The following is a 17,829-nucleotide window of genomic DNA, read 5'->3' as shown; positions in this document are numbered from 1 at the left end:
GACAAACACTTCCAGCCCCAACATCCTGGTCAACAGAGGACAGACCATAGTGAGTGCAGACCCCTGCTCCTTGGCCAGAAACTTTCTTCCTCAGACTCCCTTGCAGCTCAGAATGGATATGGGAAAGTTTTCACATTTGGCTAAAGAGGCAGAATCTTGTCTTGGGAAGACTGTTTGCTCCCTCTCCTTTTTGCTTGAAAGACTGCTATGAATATAATGACAATGACTGGTGCCGCAGCAGCCATTATGCATTCCTGAGGGGAAGGTCAAGAGAATCAGAGGTTCCCTAGCAAAACAGACTCAGGGAAAAAAAAAACGAGAGAGAGAGAGTATAAGAGGGACACTGACCTACTGGCCTGACAATCCTCAGCTGCCAAACATCCCTGGAATGGCCTTCTCCTAGACATCTTGTCCCAGAAGAGAATTAAAGCCTGGATTAAGTAAAGTTAAATATATACCAACTCTATGACCCAACAATGTCACGCCAAGGTATTTACTCAAGGGAGGTGAAAAGTATGTCCACAAAAGCACCTGTACAAAAATTTTCACAGCAGCCGGGCATGGTGGCTCATGCCTGTAATCCCAGCACTTTGGGAGGCCGAGGTGGGCGGATCACAAGGTCAGGAGATCGAGACCATCCTGGCTAACACAGTGAAACTCCGTCTTTACTAAAAATACAAAATATTAGCCGGGAGTGGTGGTGGGTACCTGTAGTCCCAGCTACTTGGGAGGCTGAGGCAGGAGAATGCCATGAACCTGTGAGGCGGAGCTTGCAGTGAGCCGAAATCATGCCACTGCACTCCAGCCTGGGCGACAGAGCAAGACTCCGTCTCAAAAAAAAAAAAAAATTTCACAGCAGCCTTATTCATAAAAGCCCCTAACTGTAAATGGCACAGAAAGCCATCAACAGGTAAATGAATACACTGTTACATCCACACGACAGAATACAGTTTGGCAGTAAAAGGGAATGAAGGACTTCTACAGCAACAATACAAATGGGTCTTAAATGGATCATGCTGAGCAAAGGAAGCCTGGCACAAAAGTCTACACACTGTGTGAGTCCATTTGTGTAAAGATCTAGAACATGGGCCCGGCGCAGTGGCTCACGCCTGTAATCCCAGCACTTTGGGAGGCCAAGGCAGGCAGATCACTAGGTTGGGAGATCGAGACCATCCTGGCTAACACAGTGAAACCCTGTCTCTACTAAAAATACAAAAAATTAGCTGGGCGTGGTGGTGGGCACCTGTAGTCCCAGCTACTCGGGAGGCTGAGGCAGGAGAATTTCTTGAACCCGGGAGGTGGAGGTTGCAGTGAGCCGAGATCGCCACACTGCACTCCAGCCTGGGCGACAGAGCAAGACTCCATCTTAAAAAAAAAACCAAACAAATCTACAATATCCAGAACTGATTTATAGTGGGGGAAAAATATCAGACGTGTGGCCGCTTCAAGGGAGGGATGCAGGAATGACTGGGAAAGGCTATAAGGGAGCCTGCTCAGATGATGGACGTGTTCTCTAGCTAGAGCTGAGTGATGCTTACACAGGTAATATTTGTCAGAAAACATCAAGCTGCGCGCTTCAGTTTTGTGCATTTTACTGCACATAAATTAGAACCCAGTAAAGCACCCCTAGCATGTAGAAAAAAAACCCCTGTGCAATTGATCGTTATTCCAGGTGGCTGTGTTCTATATATTACAGAATCTAAAAAGTGACTGTGAACATTGGATTAGCAAATACTTAGACATTAACCATGTCTCCTGGGGGAAATACAAAGTTAGGTTCCTGAAAGCCTCTGGCCACAATGCTTTCACCAACCAATATAAAACCTTGGCTTATGTGTGTTTCTGTTCGAAGACACCTTATTTAATGTATAGTTTTGATTCATTAACACTGAGCCTCACGTCAGCAGCACCCTAACTTGTGCCTGAATGCAGTTTCTCTAATACGTGTATTTTCTCTGAAAGGCACGTCACAGCCTTCTCGTTGTTTTTTTGAGACAGGGTCTCACTGTTGCCCAGGCTGGGGTGCAGTGGTGTGAAAAGAACTCATGGCAGCCTTGACCTTCCAGGCTCATGTGGTCCTCCTTAGGTGTGCGCCATCACGCTTGGCTAATTCTAAAATTTACTTATTTATTCAGAGTGTGTGTGTGTGTGTGTGTGTGTGTGTGTGTGTGTGTGTGTCGAGACAGGATCTCACCATGTTCCCCAGGCTGGTCTCGACCTCCTGGGTTCAAGCGATTCTCCCACCTTGGCCTCCCAAAGTGCTGGGGTTACAGGCGTGAGCTACCATGCCCAGCCTCACATTATAGCTTTCTTGAGCTTAGAAACATTAGACGGCACTTCAGCACTAAACTGGGGACGTTTTTATTTTTATTTTTATTTTTATTTTTTTTTTGAGATGGAGTCTCGCTCTGTCACCCAGACTGGAGTGCAGTGCAGCGATCTCGGCTCACTGCAACCTCCACCTCCCAGGTTCAAGGGATTCTCCTGCCTCAGCCTCCCGAGTAGCTGGGATTACAGGTGCCCGCCACCAAGCCCAGCTCATTTTTTTTGTATTTTTAGTAGAGATGGGGTTTCACCGTGTTGGCCAGGCTGGTCTCGAACTCCTGACCTCAGGTGATTCACCCGCCTCAGCCTCCCAAAGTGCTGGGATTACAGGCATGAGCCACTGCACCTGTCCTAAACCGGGGACATTTTACTAATTTTTTTTTTTTTTTTTTTTTTTGAGACAGAGTTTTGCTCTTGTTGCCCAGGCTGGAGTACAGTGGTGTGATCTTTGCTCACTGCAACCTCCACCTCCCAGGTTCAAGCGAATCTCCTGCCTCCACCTCCCAAGTATCTGGAACTAAAGGCATGCACCACCACGCCCGGCTAATTTTGTATTTTTAGTAGACCCAGGGTTTCACCATGTTGGCCAGGCTGGTCTCGAACTCCTGATCTCAGGTGATCCACCTGCTTCGGCCTCCCAAAGTGCTGGGATTACAGGTGAGAGCCACCACGCCTGGCCAAACTGGGGACATTTTAAACAGCAAAATCACAAAGCACAAAAATATAGAAAACATGGCACTAACTAGACCACAAAAAGGACACTTGTTTATAGTAAGAGAATAAGAAAGCAGGGTGTGGCGTTGCTTGACTGCAGCTGGAGATGTGTGCACCAGGTGACTCAAATTTTTTGCTATTCTGTGAGTGTCCATAAATGATGGGAAAAGCATTGTGCGTTATTGATTTTGGGGTTATGAGTAAGCGTTGGCGATTAGATGAAATCTGCAAATATGATATCTTGGAATAATGAGGACCCCCTGCACATGACAATACCCACTAAGATCAAGACGCATTCACCCTCTGCCTGGCTACTTCACTTATGGGAACATATCCTGCAGGTACCATTGACACGACCAAAATTATACAGTTAGGGGCTTTTACAGGTGTGTTGTTTTGTGATTTTTTTTTTTTTTTTCATAGAGATGGAGTCTTGCTATGTTGCCCAGGCTGGTCTTGAATTCCTGGGCTCAAGTAATCTTCCCACCTCAGCCTCCCAAAGTGCTGGGATTACAGGCATAAGCCACCATGCCCTGGCCTTACAGTTATGTTTCTATTAATAATAGCAAGACGGTAGCAGGTGTCTTTAGTCCCAGCTACTCGGGAGGCTGAGGCAGGAGAATGGCGTGAAACCAGGAGGCAAAGCTTGCAGTGAGCTGAGATCGTGCCACTGCACTCCAGCCTGGGTGACAGAACGAGACTCCGTCTCAAAAAATAATAATAATAATAATAGCAAGATACTGGGAACAACCCACTGGCCATCAGTAGTAAACAGGTTGATTTTTTTTTTTTAATTTCTTGGGCAGGACTATTGCAGTAGTAAACAGGTTAAATCAACTACAGTTTCTCTAAACAGGGGAATAGTATGCAGCTGTACAAAAAAGAAAGAGGTATACAAATGGCCATGACAAGATACTCAACATCATTAGCCACCAGGGAAGTGCACATCAGAACCAGAGGATACCATTTCGCATCCATTAGGATAGCTCAAATCAAAGAGACAGACAAGGGCAAGTGTTCGTGAGGGTGTGGCGGAACACGAATGCTCACTCACTGTCGGTAGGACTGTAAAAGGTTGCAGCTGCTGTGGAAACCCGCCTGGCAGTTCCTCCAAAAGTTAAACATAGAGTTGCCACGTGGCCCAGCAATTCCACTCCTACTTATAGACCCAAGAGAGTCGAAAACATATGTCCACACAAAAACTGGCCCAAGGCTGGGTGCGGTGGCTCACGCTTGTAATACCAGCTACTCGGGAGCCTGAGGCAGGAGAGTCACTTGAACCTGGGAGGCACAGGTTGCAGTGAGCTGAGATTGCGCCACTGCACTCCAGCCTGGGCAACAAGAGCGAAACTCAGTTTCAAAAAAACAAAACAAAACAAAGGCTGGCCTGTGAACATCCGCAGCACCTTTACTTGCAAGAAGCAAAAGGTAGAACCCAAATGCCCGTCCGTGGATGAACGGATAAACAGATGTGGTGTATCCATATCACAGACTATTACTCCGCCATAAGAAGGAAGGAACACTGGCACACGCTCCAACATGCATGAACCTGGAACGCATGACACCAAGTGAAGGGAGCCAGGCACAAAGGCCATATATTCCATGATTCCATTTATGCAAAATGTCCAGAATAGGCAAACCCAGAGAGACCGAAAGTAGATGCGTGGTTGCTAAGGACTGCGGGGAGGGAGAAATTCAAAGCGGCTGCTCATGAGTACGGCTTCTTTTTGAGATGATGAAAATGTTCTAAAATGGATTGTGGTGATGTCTGCACAACTCTGTGAATATACTGAAAACAACTGAATTGGTACACTTTAGATGGGTGGATTTTATGGTATGTGAATATGTCAGTAAAGATGTCCTTGAAAAAAAAAAAAATAGAATGAGGCCAGGCACAGTGGCTCATGCCTATAATCCCAGCACTTTGGGAGGCCGAGGCAGGCGGATCACTTGAGGTCAGGAGTTTGAGACCAGCCTGGCCAACATGATGAAACCCCATCTCTACTAAAATACAAAAATTAGCCAGGTGTGGTGGTGAGCACCTGTAATCCCAGCTACTCTGGAGTCTGAGGTCGGAGGATCGCTTGAGCCAGTGAAGGTGGAGGTTGCAGTGAGCTGAGAACATAACACTGCACTCCAGCCTGGCGGACGGCGCGAGACCCTGTCTCGGAAAAAAAAAAAAAAAAAAAAAAAGAATGAGGACGTTCTTTGTGTACTGATAGGGAAAGATCGCCCAGACTACTGCTACATGGAAAAGTAAAATGTAGAAGGGTGTGTGTAAAACGTTACCATCTGCTTAAGAAAAGGGTGAAGGAGACATGATACATATTCTGAATGCTTTTCAATGCCTAAAGAACTTCAGGAAGGGTGTATATGACACTAAACACAATGACTAACTATGAAGGGACCTGGCAGATCGGAACAGGAATAGGAGGTGTTCCACTGCATAGTTTTCAAAATAATTTTTGCTTTTTCAGCTTGGTGAATTAGCCATCTCAAAAACTAAATTTAGAAATATTTGTTGAAAAAAATAAGAGAGTATTTAAGCCATCAGTGGTCAAGTCAACTGTTACTTGCAGCCGAATGCACACAAGCTAAAAAGCCACGAGTAGTAAGAGGAAGCAATGAGATTAGAACCTGGGATTCTTGGACACCAAAGCCTTGGCTGCTTTCCAAGATGCCACACTGCCTGACTGCTGATGTCTATACAGAGTCTGGACAGGCCGGGCACAGTGGCTCACACCTGTAATCCCAGCACTTTGGGAGCCAAGAGAGCAGGATCACTTGGGCCCAGGAGTTTGAGACCAGCCTGGGCAGCATAGTGAGACCCTGTTCTCTAAAAAATTTTTTAAAAAAATAGCTGGGTGTGGTGGCACATGCCTCTGATTGCAACTACTCAGGAGGCTGAGGTAGGAGGATTGCTTGAGCCTGGGAGGTCGAGGCTGCAGTGAGCCATGGTCACACGATTGCACTCCAGCCTGGGTGACCTTGTCTCAAAAAAAATACTCCAGATGACCTTCCTCCCCTCCACCCTTCCATACCTGAAATAGTTTTTTACCTGGATTCTGCATGAGCCTTCCTAATCACTCCCCTATTTTTCTCACATGCCACACAGGCAAAAAAGCCTTAGAGTCCAGAGAAGTGACAGCAGGCCGACATCTGCCCAGGACCTGGCAGGGGTTTGGGCTGGCAGAGTCACAGGCCTGGGTCTTACAGCAAACACCTTCAGATGCTGACCTGGTGCGGTTCAAACGTTCCTGTCCCAGAGCAGGTCCCGGGCAAGCCGTGGGTTTGCAGCCACATCACAGCCAGGAGTGGCGCCATCTGTGGGAATCAGCCAACGCTGGTTGGCTCAAAGATGCCACCATTCCTCCTGTCTCTTAAATAACTCCAGCCCACCCTTCTCTAGGTCTTGGAACCAGCATTGTCTGCCCAACCCTCTCGTGCTCGTTGCCTGGAGGGTGGCAGGGACTTCTAACTGACCTCCCACTTCTAAACTCAGTTCCCCACTTGGTGGCCAGAGCGACCTATTTTATTTAAGATCGTGCTGTTCCCCTTCTTAGGGCTCCCTACTGATCCCTACTGCTCCACAAAGAGAAGTCAAACGCTTTCCCGATGGTGCTGGGAGTGAGGAAGTCATCCCTGCTCTCCCAGAGCTCACGTTCTACCGGCAGGAGTCAGACCCTGAACCAAGAGACAGCGTCCCGAGGAGAAGATGAGGGCAAGGATGCCAAGAATGGGTTGGGGAGGGCTGGGGTACATACAGGATGTGCAGGAGGTAAGGGGAGCAGCAATGTGGCCACCCCAGGAGAGCGGGCTCCAGGCAGAAGGAGGAGGACATGCAATGGTCCTGAGGCAGAATCACGTGGGCGCCTCAGGGACCACGGGCAGTGATGAGGGCGTGAGCATGAGTAGGCATGCAGGAGAGGCGAGGTCAGACAGACAACGAGGGCGAGGACTTCAGCTTTTATTCCAGGTGAGCCCAGGGCTGAGGGAGGGCTCCGGACAGGGCAGGGACATGACCTGACTTGGGTGTTCACAGGTTCCTTCTGGCTGTAGAGTGGAGAACGGACTGCAGAAGGTGAGGACGGAAGCACAGAGAGGGGGCGACGGTAATGGTCCAGGCAGGAGACATGGTGACAGCGGAGGGGACAAGGCGCAGTCAAATTCTGGACATAATAGCAGAGCAAGAGGGTTTGCAGATGGATTGGCCAAGGAGTGTAAGGGAACAGCAGAGCCAAGAGCCCTCCAGCATTTGAGAAGGCCGGGTGGGCCAGGCAGATGGTGTCAAGATGGGTGGACCGGGCAGATGGTGTCAGGCTGTGCGGGCTGGGCGGATGGTGTCAGGATGTGTGGTGCACACAAGCCCTCACACATGCTCCTTCCTCTCATCCACTGCCCTCTTCAGTGAAGCCCATTTCCCTCTAATGCATTCTGCTGGTCCCAAAGCTACTGATCACCTTATTAAGAGAAGAGATGACCCCAATCCAGGGCACAGCAGGGAGGGCTGCCCAGAGCCTCAGAGAAGGAGAAATACTGAAGTGGCAGCTATGGGCAAGAACTCCACACCTCCCTCTCAGAGCAACACCTTTTATATTGGGTTGGTGCAAAAATCATTGCACCTTTTGCCATTAAAAGTAATGGCAAAAACTGGCCGGGCACAGTGGCTCACACCTCTAATCCCAGCACTTTGGGAAGCCAAGGTGGGAGAATCACTTGAGGTCAGGAGTTCGAGACCAGCCTAGTCAACATGGTGAAATCCTGTCTCTACTAAGAATACAAAAATTGGCCAGGTGCCGTGGCTCAGCCCTGTAATTTGGGAGGCCAAGGCGGGAGGATCACGAGGTCGGGAGTTTGAGACTAGTCTGGCCAACATAGTGAAACCCTGTCTCTATGAAAAATACAAAAAATTAGCCGGGGTGGTGGCAGGTGCCTGTAATCCCAGCTACTCGGAAGGCTGAGGCAGGAAAATCACTTGACCCTGGGTGGTGGAGGGTTGCAGTGAGCCGAGATTGCACCACTGCACTCCATCCTAGGTGACAGAGCAAGACTCCACCTCAAAAAACAAACAAACAAACAAACAAAAAAATTAGCCAGGCATGGTGGCATGCACCTGTAAATCCCAGCTACTCAGGAAGCTGAGGCAGGATAATCATTTGAGCCCTGGAGGTGGAGGTGGCAGTGAGCTGATATTGTGCCACTGTACTCCAGTTCGGGCGACAGAGACTCTGTCTCAAAAAAAAAAAGTAATGGCAAAAACTGCAATTACTTTTGCACTTAATGGCAAAAAATCTAATTACTTTTACACTAACCTAAATCTCATTTCAGAATCTGTCCCTACCCCAAAGTCTAAGCAGCTTCCAAGTTTATATTTGACTTTGAGTACTCAATAATCTTGGGGTTGGCTTTGCTGTACAGTGTGAGGTAGGGATCTGATTTCATCTCCTTCCACCTGTGGATGACCTTTTTACTTTTGATCCCTACCTCTATTTATTATGAGTCCCTTGTTTCCCCACAAATCTGACCATTGGCCATATCGACCTCATACCATGTCTTAATGTGCCTGGTTCTCCTTCTGGACTCTCTGTTCTATTCCATTAGTAGGATATCAATTTCTACTAATTCCCTAACCTCAGAGATAAAATAGATTCTGTTGGACAGGTAATCAATACATTGACACTGAGCAGACAGTGGCAGGTGAGTGGGGAAGTGAAGTGTCTCCAGGCAGGACACAAGATCTTCGAGGCAGAGACAGTAACATTCCTTTGCTTGTCAATACGTTCCTGTTTGAATTTCTGATTGTGTTGACTTATATATTATGAGATCAACTTTTAACTAAATTAATCCTCACAAAAGATACAGAGGGCATATAACAGCGCTCACAAATAAATGAAAAGATTAACAATAATATTAATAACATACAGGCCAGGCACAGTGGCTCATGCCTGTAATCCGAGCCTTTGGGAGGCCAAGGCAGGTGGATCACTTGAGGTCAGGAGCTTGAGACCAGCCTGGCCAACATGGAGAATCCCCATTTCTACTAAAAATACAAAAATTAGGCCGGGTGCAGTGGCTCACGCCTGTAATCCCAGCACTTTGGGATGCCGAGGCAGGCAGATCACAAGGTCAGGAGATTGAGACCATCATAGCTAACATGGTGAAACCCCGTCTGTACTAAAAATACAAAAAATTAGCCAGGTGTGGTGGTGGGTGCCTGTAGTCCCAGCTACTTGTGAGGCTGAGGCAGGAGAATGGCGTGAGCCCAGGAGGCGGAGCTTGCAGTGAGCCAAGATCGTGCCACTGCACTCCAGCCTGGGAAACAAAGTGAGACTCCGCCTCAAAAAAAAAAAAAAAAATAGCCCAGCGTGGTGGTGCACGCCTGTAGTCCCAGCTACTCAGGGGGCTGAGGGAGGAGAGCCCAGGGCTCACTTGAACTCAGGAGGCAGAGGCTGCAGTGAGCCAAGATCAGCCTACTACACTCCAGCCTGGGTGGCAGAGCAAGACTCTGTCTCAAAAAAAAAAAAACAAACAAAAAAAAAAAACTCCTGACCTCAGGTGATCCACCACCTCAGCCTCCCAAAGTGCTGGGATTACAGGCATGAGTCACCACTCCCAGCCATGCCCTTCCTTTTCTCGAGTGTCACCAGGGCCGTCTGTAGTCACAAGCCCTCCCCCAGTCCCTCTCCTGCTTGCTTTACTGCAGGTGCCGATCGCTATCTGACAGGCCATAAATGGGACTTATCTTAGCTCCTGCCTGGCTCCCCCAAGAGTGGTGAGCTCCAGGTTTCTTTTTGTTCGCTTTGTGTAAATATTGACTGACTGGGACTCCTGAAGGAGGATGATTCTCAGTGGCCACAGGTGACGCTGTCAGGCGCCTGACCTAGGCCTGACCGGGACACATCCACAGGCCGACCAGAAACCCCAGGGATTGGTCAGCTGGAGGCGGGAGAGGAGGTGAAAGGGCACGGGGTGGGTTACAGCTCAGGCAGCCACTGCGGGCTCAGAGACGCCCAATCTATAGGGATGGGCAGTTCAACTGGGCATCGGCACAGAAGGCAAGGAGGGAACGAGCAGTTCAGAGAGACAGAGAGAGGGACGGGGAGACGGTAACAGGAAAACAGGGAGACGGAGAGAAGGCAGACGCTCCACAAAGACTGATGCACCCTCCCCCTATCCCGCACACCGACCCAGGAGCAAGTTAATCCAGTAGGTCTACACCAGTAGTTCCCGCCCAGGAAATGCCAGGAGCACTCCCACCCCCAATAAACAACCCCAAATGCCAGGGCAAATATGCCAAACGGCCCCCCACTCCCCCCGCGAACTACGGTCTCCATATCTAGACACTCAAGCCCAACAGGACACCCCCCATCGTGGACAGGATCCCCGTGCAGTGTGGTCAAGGACATAGCAGGGTCTTCACTAACGATGCGGACATCTTGGTCACAGGCACCATGGAAAAGCACATTTCTCAAGTCCACAGAGCAAGGGTTAAAGACTAAAACCAGCAACAGAGGCAGGCGATCATGGCTTCCAATCCTCACCCGGGAAGGAGGATTCTACAAGAACATGCAACGTGGGCCACACACACGTGCCAAGGAGAGAGAGGAGCCCACAGATCATTTTTCCTGTTACCTAACAGGACCTACTGTCTATGGAATCCCAACTTTATGCATAGCGGGGCAGAGGTGGACCGCAAAACACATTCTAGAATGTTCATAGCACCCCTAAACTGAAACAACCCAGATCCTATCAACAGGACAATGGATGAATCATCAAAATGATAGAGAAATCAGAGCCCTCATGCATTGCTGGGCGATATACAAGGGTGCCGCTGCCGTGGAAGAGTCTGGCTGGTCTCAGTAGGTTAACACACAGTTACCCTGTGACCCACCAATTCCACTCCCATGTAGAAACCAGGAGAAATGGAAACAAGTGTCCACACAAAAGCCTGCACACAAACATTCATACGGCATCATTCAGAACAGTGCAAACTGGAAAAAAAAAACCTCCAATGTCCACCAACTGAACGGATAAACAAAATGTGGCCTATCCATACAATGGAGTATTACTGAGCCATGAAAAGGGATGAGACACTGACACACACGGAGGGACCTTGACAACATCACGCTGAGTGAAAGAAGCCAGGCACAAAAGGCCACGTCGTGTAAGAGTCTGTTTCCACGAAATGTCCAAAATAGGCAAATTCACAGAGCCAGAAAGTAGACTTGTGGTTGCTGGAGGCTGGGAGGGGGAGAAGGAGTGGGGATGATGGCTAAGGGATGCAGAGTTTCTTTTTGAGGTGAGGAAAATGTTCTATAATAGATTATGGTGATGGTTATAACTCTGCAAACACACTATAAACTGTGGTGAACGATTTACATGGGTGAACTGTATGGTATGTGAATTATATCTCAATAAAGCTGTTAAAAAAAAGGAATAACTGTGTGTGAGAGTGTTACTTTATAATTGCTGGATGAAATGAGCATATTTTACACTTTTCTGTAGGAATCCTTGACTTACTTCACCTCGCTGTGTCTCAATTTCCATTTCTGATAGTAACAGTCTCACCTTCAAGGGACTGTCAGGAGGATTAAACGAATTAATACGGGTGAAGTGCGTGACCTGAGCTCCCAGGATGTGCTCGGGAAGTACTCTCAGGAATAGCTGTTATTCTCAAATCCCCGGGCTAAGGCTCAAAAAGTAAAACACATGGGAGAAATGTTCTTAAGCATGGTGTTTCAGCCGTGTGTGTGTGCGCGCACACGTGTGTCTGTGTGCATGTGTGTCGGGCTGAGCTGATCCCTTGGACTTGATTAAAAGCCTCCACTCCAAACTCACGAGGGGCTGGCGATTTCTGGAGATTTTTGCAGGCGCTCTGGAGACATAGGGAAGTTTCCAGCAGGGACCCATCTCTGCTCCCCTGAGGACCCTGGTGTCCACACTGTGAGGCAGAAATCCCAGGTCTGGGGACACAAGCCCTCAGTGGGCAGAGCATTCCGCATGCTGGACGTACCCCTCCTCCACCCCCTGCCAGATCCCAAAATGCACCTCCCTGGCTGACGCCCCCCTGCCCTGAGTTTTCTTTTTTCTTTCTACGTTTTTCTTTTTTTGGAGACAGGGTCTCACTCTGTCAACCAGGCTACAGTGCAGTGGCACAATCATGGCTCACTGCAGCCTCAACTTCCTGGGCTCAAGAGATCCTCCTGCTTTGGCCTCCAGTATAGCTGGGCCTACAGGCGCATGCCACCACGCCTGGCTAACTTTTTTAATTTTTTGTAGAGGCGGGGTCTCACTCTGTTGCTCAGGCTGGTCTTGAACTCCTGGCCTCAAGCAATCTGCCTGCCTCAGCCTCCCAAAGTGCTGGGATTACAGGCGTGAGCCACTGCACCTGGAATCTCAGTCTTCAGCTCTCAAAATATGTCTCTCCTGTCAACTGTGCAAACTGAATGCCTGAGGGCAAGAGGAAGAGCCAATCAGAAGGAAGATCAGAAGGAAATATGCCCAAACATTAACATACTTGCTCTACCCCAGGAGTGACAGGATTACAAGCTACTTTTGTGTTATCTGCGTTTTTGGAACTTTGTATATTCCAGTTTCTTTTTTGCTCCCTCCCCTTTCCTCTTTTGCTCCTTCTAATGATCCTCTATGACCTTTTCATGTTAAGAGACCATTTTTCTTTAACCTTTTCTTGAAATTATATGACCCCAATATTATGAATGCAGCGGGTTGTCCAGCTGAACGCACCACCTGCCAGAACAAGGACAAGATGATGACCAGCCCTTTGGAAAGGAACCAGAATGTCCCTTTCAAAGGCAGAACCTCAGGGTGGTTAAGAACACAGGCTCTGGAAATTCCAACCAGCGATGCGTAGCCTGGATCTCACTGAGAGGAAACATCCAACAAACTGAAAATGAGAGACGTTCTACACAATAACTGGCCTGGACCCTTCTAAAATGTCAACGTCATGAAACACAAAGAAAGGCTGAGGAAACCCTCCAGAATGAAGGGACTGAAAGAGACCAGACAAGTAAATGCAACTGGCGTGATTCCAAACCTCATCCTACATCGGGGTGGGGAGGATACGGCTCTGAGGGACGTTAGTAGAACTGACAGAGCCAGAATACGGAGAGTGGCTGCATTAATGGTGTTGTATCAATCAATGTTCAACAAGGTGCATTTGATAACTGTCCTGTGGTTACATAAGAGAATGGTTCTTTGGAAATGCACGTTCGTGTCATTCCTACTCTCAAATCGTTTAGGAGAAACACAGGACAGAGAGAGAAAGAGGAAGTGTGTGTGTGTAGAGTTCAGGTGAAACTGGTTCATTTTCCTTAAGAGTAAACTGAGACCTGCAGACAGAAAACCTTTTGCTCTACTGGCCTGTAGAAATAAAAGCATATGGAATGAAATCCGGGCGCGGTGGCTCACGCCTGGAATCCCAGCACTTTGGGAGGCCAAGGCAGGCGGATCACTTGAGGCCAGGAGTTTGAGACCAGCCTGGCCAACATAGCAAAACCTCATCTCTACTAAAAATACAAAACTTATCTGGGCATAGTGGCGGGCGCCTGTAATCCCAGCTGCTCTGGAGGCTGAGGCAGGAGGGTTGCTTGAACCCAAGAGGCAGAGGTTGCAGTGAGCTGAGAGTGTGCCACTGCACTCCAGCCTGAGTGACAGAGTGAGATTCCATCAGAAAGAAAAAAAAGGAAGGTGAAGGGGTAGGGGAAGGGGAAGGGGTAGGGAAAGGGGAGGGGAAGGAGGGAGGGAGGGAGGAAGGGAGGGAGGGAGGAAGCAAGGAAGGAGAGAGAGAAAGAAAGAAAAGAAAAGGAAAAGCAAAGAAAATAAAAGAAAGGAAATGTGGCAAAATATTAAAAGTTGGTGAATCTGGGCCAGGTGCAGTGGCTCACACCTGTAATCCCAACACCGTGGGAGCCTGAGGCAGGAGAATCACTTGAGGCTAAGGGCTAAGAGTTTGAGACCAACCTGGGCACCTAAGTCTCTGCAAAAAAAAAAAGAAGAAGAAATAATTAGCTGGGCATCATGGGCACACCTGTAGTCCTAGCCACTTGGGAGACTGAGGTGGAAGGATCCCTTGAGCCCAGCAGGTAGAGGCTGCAGTGAGCCATGATCCCCCCACTGCACTCCAGCCTGGGCAAGAGAGCAAGACTCTGTCTCAAAAAATAAAGAAATAAATAAAAGGTTGGTGAATGTAGGTAAAGGTCTCTCTATATCATGCTCTGTGCCTCCTGGCTGTGCAACCTGAAGCAAGTTACTTCCCTCTCTGTTCCTCAGTTTCTAGGTCTACAAAATGGACATCGGAACAGAATTAACCCCCCCAGGTCAGTGGTGTTCCAGCTGAACACGCATGTGGTAGTCTCGCAGCCAGCCTGGGTTCTGGTGGGGCTCTGGACGCTTAAATATTCTCAGCATTGCCCATGCTTCCGGGGCCATTTCAGGATTTCGTGAGTCCAGAGCCCGATATGGCAAACAACCGATGTTAACTGTTAGGGCCACCACGAGAAAAGCAAAACCATGAAAATGTATGCCTTGTTTTCTCAGCTAACCTACAGGCTGCTCAAAGTCAGACAGTGTGGCTTCTGCTGAGCTCTTCTGTCCACAGCCACCCAGTGGGAGGCTGGTGTCCCCAGTACCTCATCACAGCCTAATGCCAGGGACCCCAGGGACAGCACCGTGAGCAGCCCCGCCGTGAGAAGGGATGGTCATGGCTGGATGCCAGGGATGCTGCCAGTGTCCCAGGTGACAGATGCCCCTCCAGGGCCTGGACTGAGCCGCTAGGATGCAGAAAGAGCCACATTCAAAGCCTTCACTTTGTCAGTCAGGGGCAGCACACCGGGGCCCCAGATGTATTTGGGTTGGTTACAGAGTTACTTTTGTAGGTCAATTTTTAGCATCCAGAAAAAGGGCTGTTTAAAAGAATTCCAGACCAGGCACAGTGGTTCATGCCTGTAATCCCAGCACTTTGGAAGGCTGAGGTGGGCAGATCACTTGAGGTCAGGAGTTCAAGACCAGCTCGGCCAACATGGCGAAACCTTGTCTTTACAAAAAATACAAAAATTAGCCGGGCATGGTGGAGGGCGCCTGTAATCTCAGCTACTCAGAAGGCTGAGGCAGGAGAATCACTTGAACCCAGGAGGCAGAGGTTGCAGTGAGCCAAGATTGCACCACTGCACTCCAGCCTGGAGCGAGACTCCGTCTCAAAAGAGACAACAAATGATCCAATTTAAAATGAGCAAAAGAAGGTATGCAAACAGCCCATAAATCAATGCAATGTTCAACATCTTTAGTCATCAGGGAAATTAAAACTACAACCATAATGAGATATTACTACATACCCGTTAGAACGTCTGACATTATAAAGACTGATAATGGTAAGTGGTGGGGAAGATGTGGGGCAACTGGAATGCTTATCCATTGCTGGTGGTAAACAACTGCTTTGAAAAATATTTGGCACTTTCTTTCTTTTTTCTTTTTCTTTTTTCTTTTCTTTTTGAGACAGGGTCTCACTTTGTCACCCAGGCTGGAGTGCAGTAGCATGATCTTGGCTCACTGCAACCTCCACCTCCAGGGCTCAAGAGGTCCTCCTGCCTCAGCTTCCCGAGTAGCTGGGACTACAGGCGCGTGCCACCATGCTTGGCTAATTTTTTTGTATTTTTGGTAGAGACTGGGTTTTGCCATGTTCCCAGGCTGATCTCAAACTCCTGGGCACAAGCAGTCCTCTCGCCTCAGTCTCCCAAAGTGCTGGGACTACAGGTGTGAGCCACTGCGCCCAGGTGGGCAGTTTCTAACAAAATTAAACATACCCTTATCATCTGACCCTACTAATCCACTTCTAGGTATTTGCCCAAGAGAAATGATAGCATAGGTCCACACAAAGACTCGTACAGGCATGTTCAAGCAGCATCATCTATGGCAGCCAAACACTGGAAATAACCCAAAGGTCCATCAGCAGGTGAATGGATGAAAAAATTATATCTGCATAATGGCATATTGCCAGCAAAAGAAGGAATGAACTACTGGTACACATAACATAGATGAATTTCAAAATCACTATGCTGAGCAACAGAAGCCTGATACAAAAGAGTACATGCTGTGTGATTCTATTTATGTCAAACTCTAGAACAGACAAATTGAAATTGCAGAAAGTTGCAAAATCAACATGGAAAAATCAGTGGTGTTTCTACACACTAACAACGAACCTAACCAAAAAAGGACTTAAGAAACAATCGCATTTACAATACCATCAAAAAGATTAAATTAAATTTAACCAAGGAAGTGAAAGATCTGAACACTGACAACTATGATACATGGATGCAAGAAATTACAGAAGACACAAATAAATGGAAAGATATCCCATGTTCATGGATTGGAATACTTAATATTGCAAGGAAAAAATATATATATATTACTCAAATTGGTCTATAGATTCAATGTAATCACTATCAAAATTCCAATGGCATTGTTCACAGGAATAGAAAAAAATCCTAAAATTCCTATGAAACCACAAAAGACCCTGCCCTGAATAGCTGAATTTTTATTTTATTTTATATTTTTTGAAATGGGGTGTCGGTCTGTCACCCAGGCTGGAGTGCAGTGGCATGATCATAGCTCCAACTGCTGGGCTCAAGCGACTGTCCCGTCTCAGCCTCCCAAGTAGCTAGGACCACAGGTGAGATTCTAAGAAAAAAGCTGGAGGCATCACACACTCCCTGAATGTGCTGATTAGAAAACACAAGTTGAATCTATAGTTACAGAAAGCAGAGATTTTTGCATTGCCTGAGCCAGGGGGTAGGGAGGATTGATTACAAAAGGGCATTATTGATCCTTTTGGGGTAACAGAAACATTCTGTATCCTGATCGTGATGATGGTTAATAATGGTACACATTTATCAAATTGCATCCAATGATACTTTTTAAATGGGTGTGTCACACTGTACATAAATTATACCTAAGTAAAGTTTACTAAAAAAAACTGGCCAGGTGCGGTGGCTGATGTCTGTAATCCCAGAACTTTGGGAGGCCGAGGCAGGCAGATCACAAGGTCAGGAGACCGAGACCATCCTGGCTAACACAGTGAAACCCGGTCTGTACTAAAAATACAAAAAAAAAAAAAAAAAAAAAAATTAGCCAGGCATGGTGGTGGTGGGTGCCTGTAGTCCCAGCTTACTCAGGAGGCTGAGGTAGGAGAATCGCTTGAACCCGGGAGGCGGATGTTGCAGTGAGCCAAGATCATGTCACTGCACTCCAGCCTGGGTGACAGAGTGAGACTCTGTCTCAAAAAAAAAAAAAAAAAAAAAATCTGACTCTGACTCCAGACTACCCAGTTCAAACCCCAGCTCCACCACTTACTGGCTGTGCCACTGGGTAAGTGTTTTCAAATCCCTGCCTCAGGACCTTTGCACCTGCTGTTCTTGCAGCTAGGAACCCTGACAGGGCTTCACACTGATGGGGCTTGCTCCCTCGCCTCCTTCAGGTCTTTGTTCAAATGTCACCTTTTCAGCAAGGGCCGGTTACAATGACCACCCACACCGCCAGCCCTCTCTGCCCCCATTCCCTCTGTTTTCTTCCACAGCACTCAGTACAGTCTGATGAGCCCAACTTTGAGTATCCTCCACTGGCAGGTCAGCTCCCCAGAGGCAGGGATTTTTTTTTTTTTTTTTTCTTTTGAGACAGTCTCACTCTGTCTCCCAGACTGGAGTGCAGTGGCATGATCTCGGCTCACTGCAACCTCCGCCTCCCAGGTTCAAGTGATTCTCCTGCCTCAGCCTCCCGAGT

At 48.0% G+C, this 17,829-nt stretch overlaps 1 protein-coding gene across 2 annotated transcripts in view, besides 2 other annotated features; it reads right to left on the bottom strand.

The window, feature by feature from the left end:
• The window catches only part of BICRA (BRD4 interacting chromatin remodeling complex associated protein), a 95,082-nt gene that overhangs the window by 45,030 nt on the left and 32,223 nt on the right, over window positions 1-17,829 (bottom strand). The gene's annotated exons all lie outside the window — the stretch shown is intronic.
• Window positions 6,941-7,647: an enhancer, noted in NCBI's record as "H3K27ac-H3K4me1 hESC enhancer chr19:48153858-48154564 (GRCh37/hg19 assembly coordinates)". NCBI's record gives its function as "activates a minimal SCP1, AML or CMV promoter by ChIP-STARR-seq in naive H9 embryonic stem cells {active_cell/tissue: H9 hESC(naive)}" and the evidence as "EXISTENCE:reporter gene assay evidence [ECO:0000049][PMID:30033119]".
• Window positions 11,971-12,551: an enhancer, noted in NCBI's record as "H3K27ac-H3K4me1 hESC enhancer chr19:48148954-48149534 (GRCh37/hg19 assembly coordinates)". NCBI's record gives its function as "activates a minimal SCP1, AML or CMV promoter by ChIP-STARR-seq in primed H9 embryonic stem cells {active_cell/tissue: H9 hESC(primed)}" and the evidence as "EXISTENCE:reporter gene assay evidence [ECO:0000049][PMID:30033119]".

The sequence above is a fragment of the Homo sapiens genome, chromosome 19, assembly GCF_000001405.40.
Source record: "Homo sapiens chromosome 19, GRCh38.p14 Primary Assembly".
Classification (NCBI taxonomy): Eukaryota; Metazoa; Chordata; class Mammalia; order Primates; family Hominidae; genus Homo; species Homo sapiens.
This window is presented reverse-complemented; position numbering and strand designations above follow the sequence as displayed.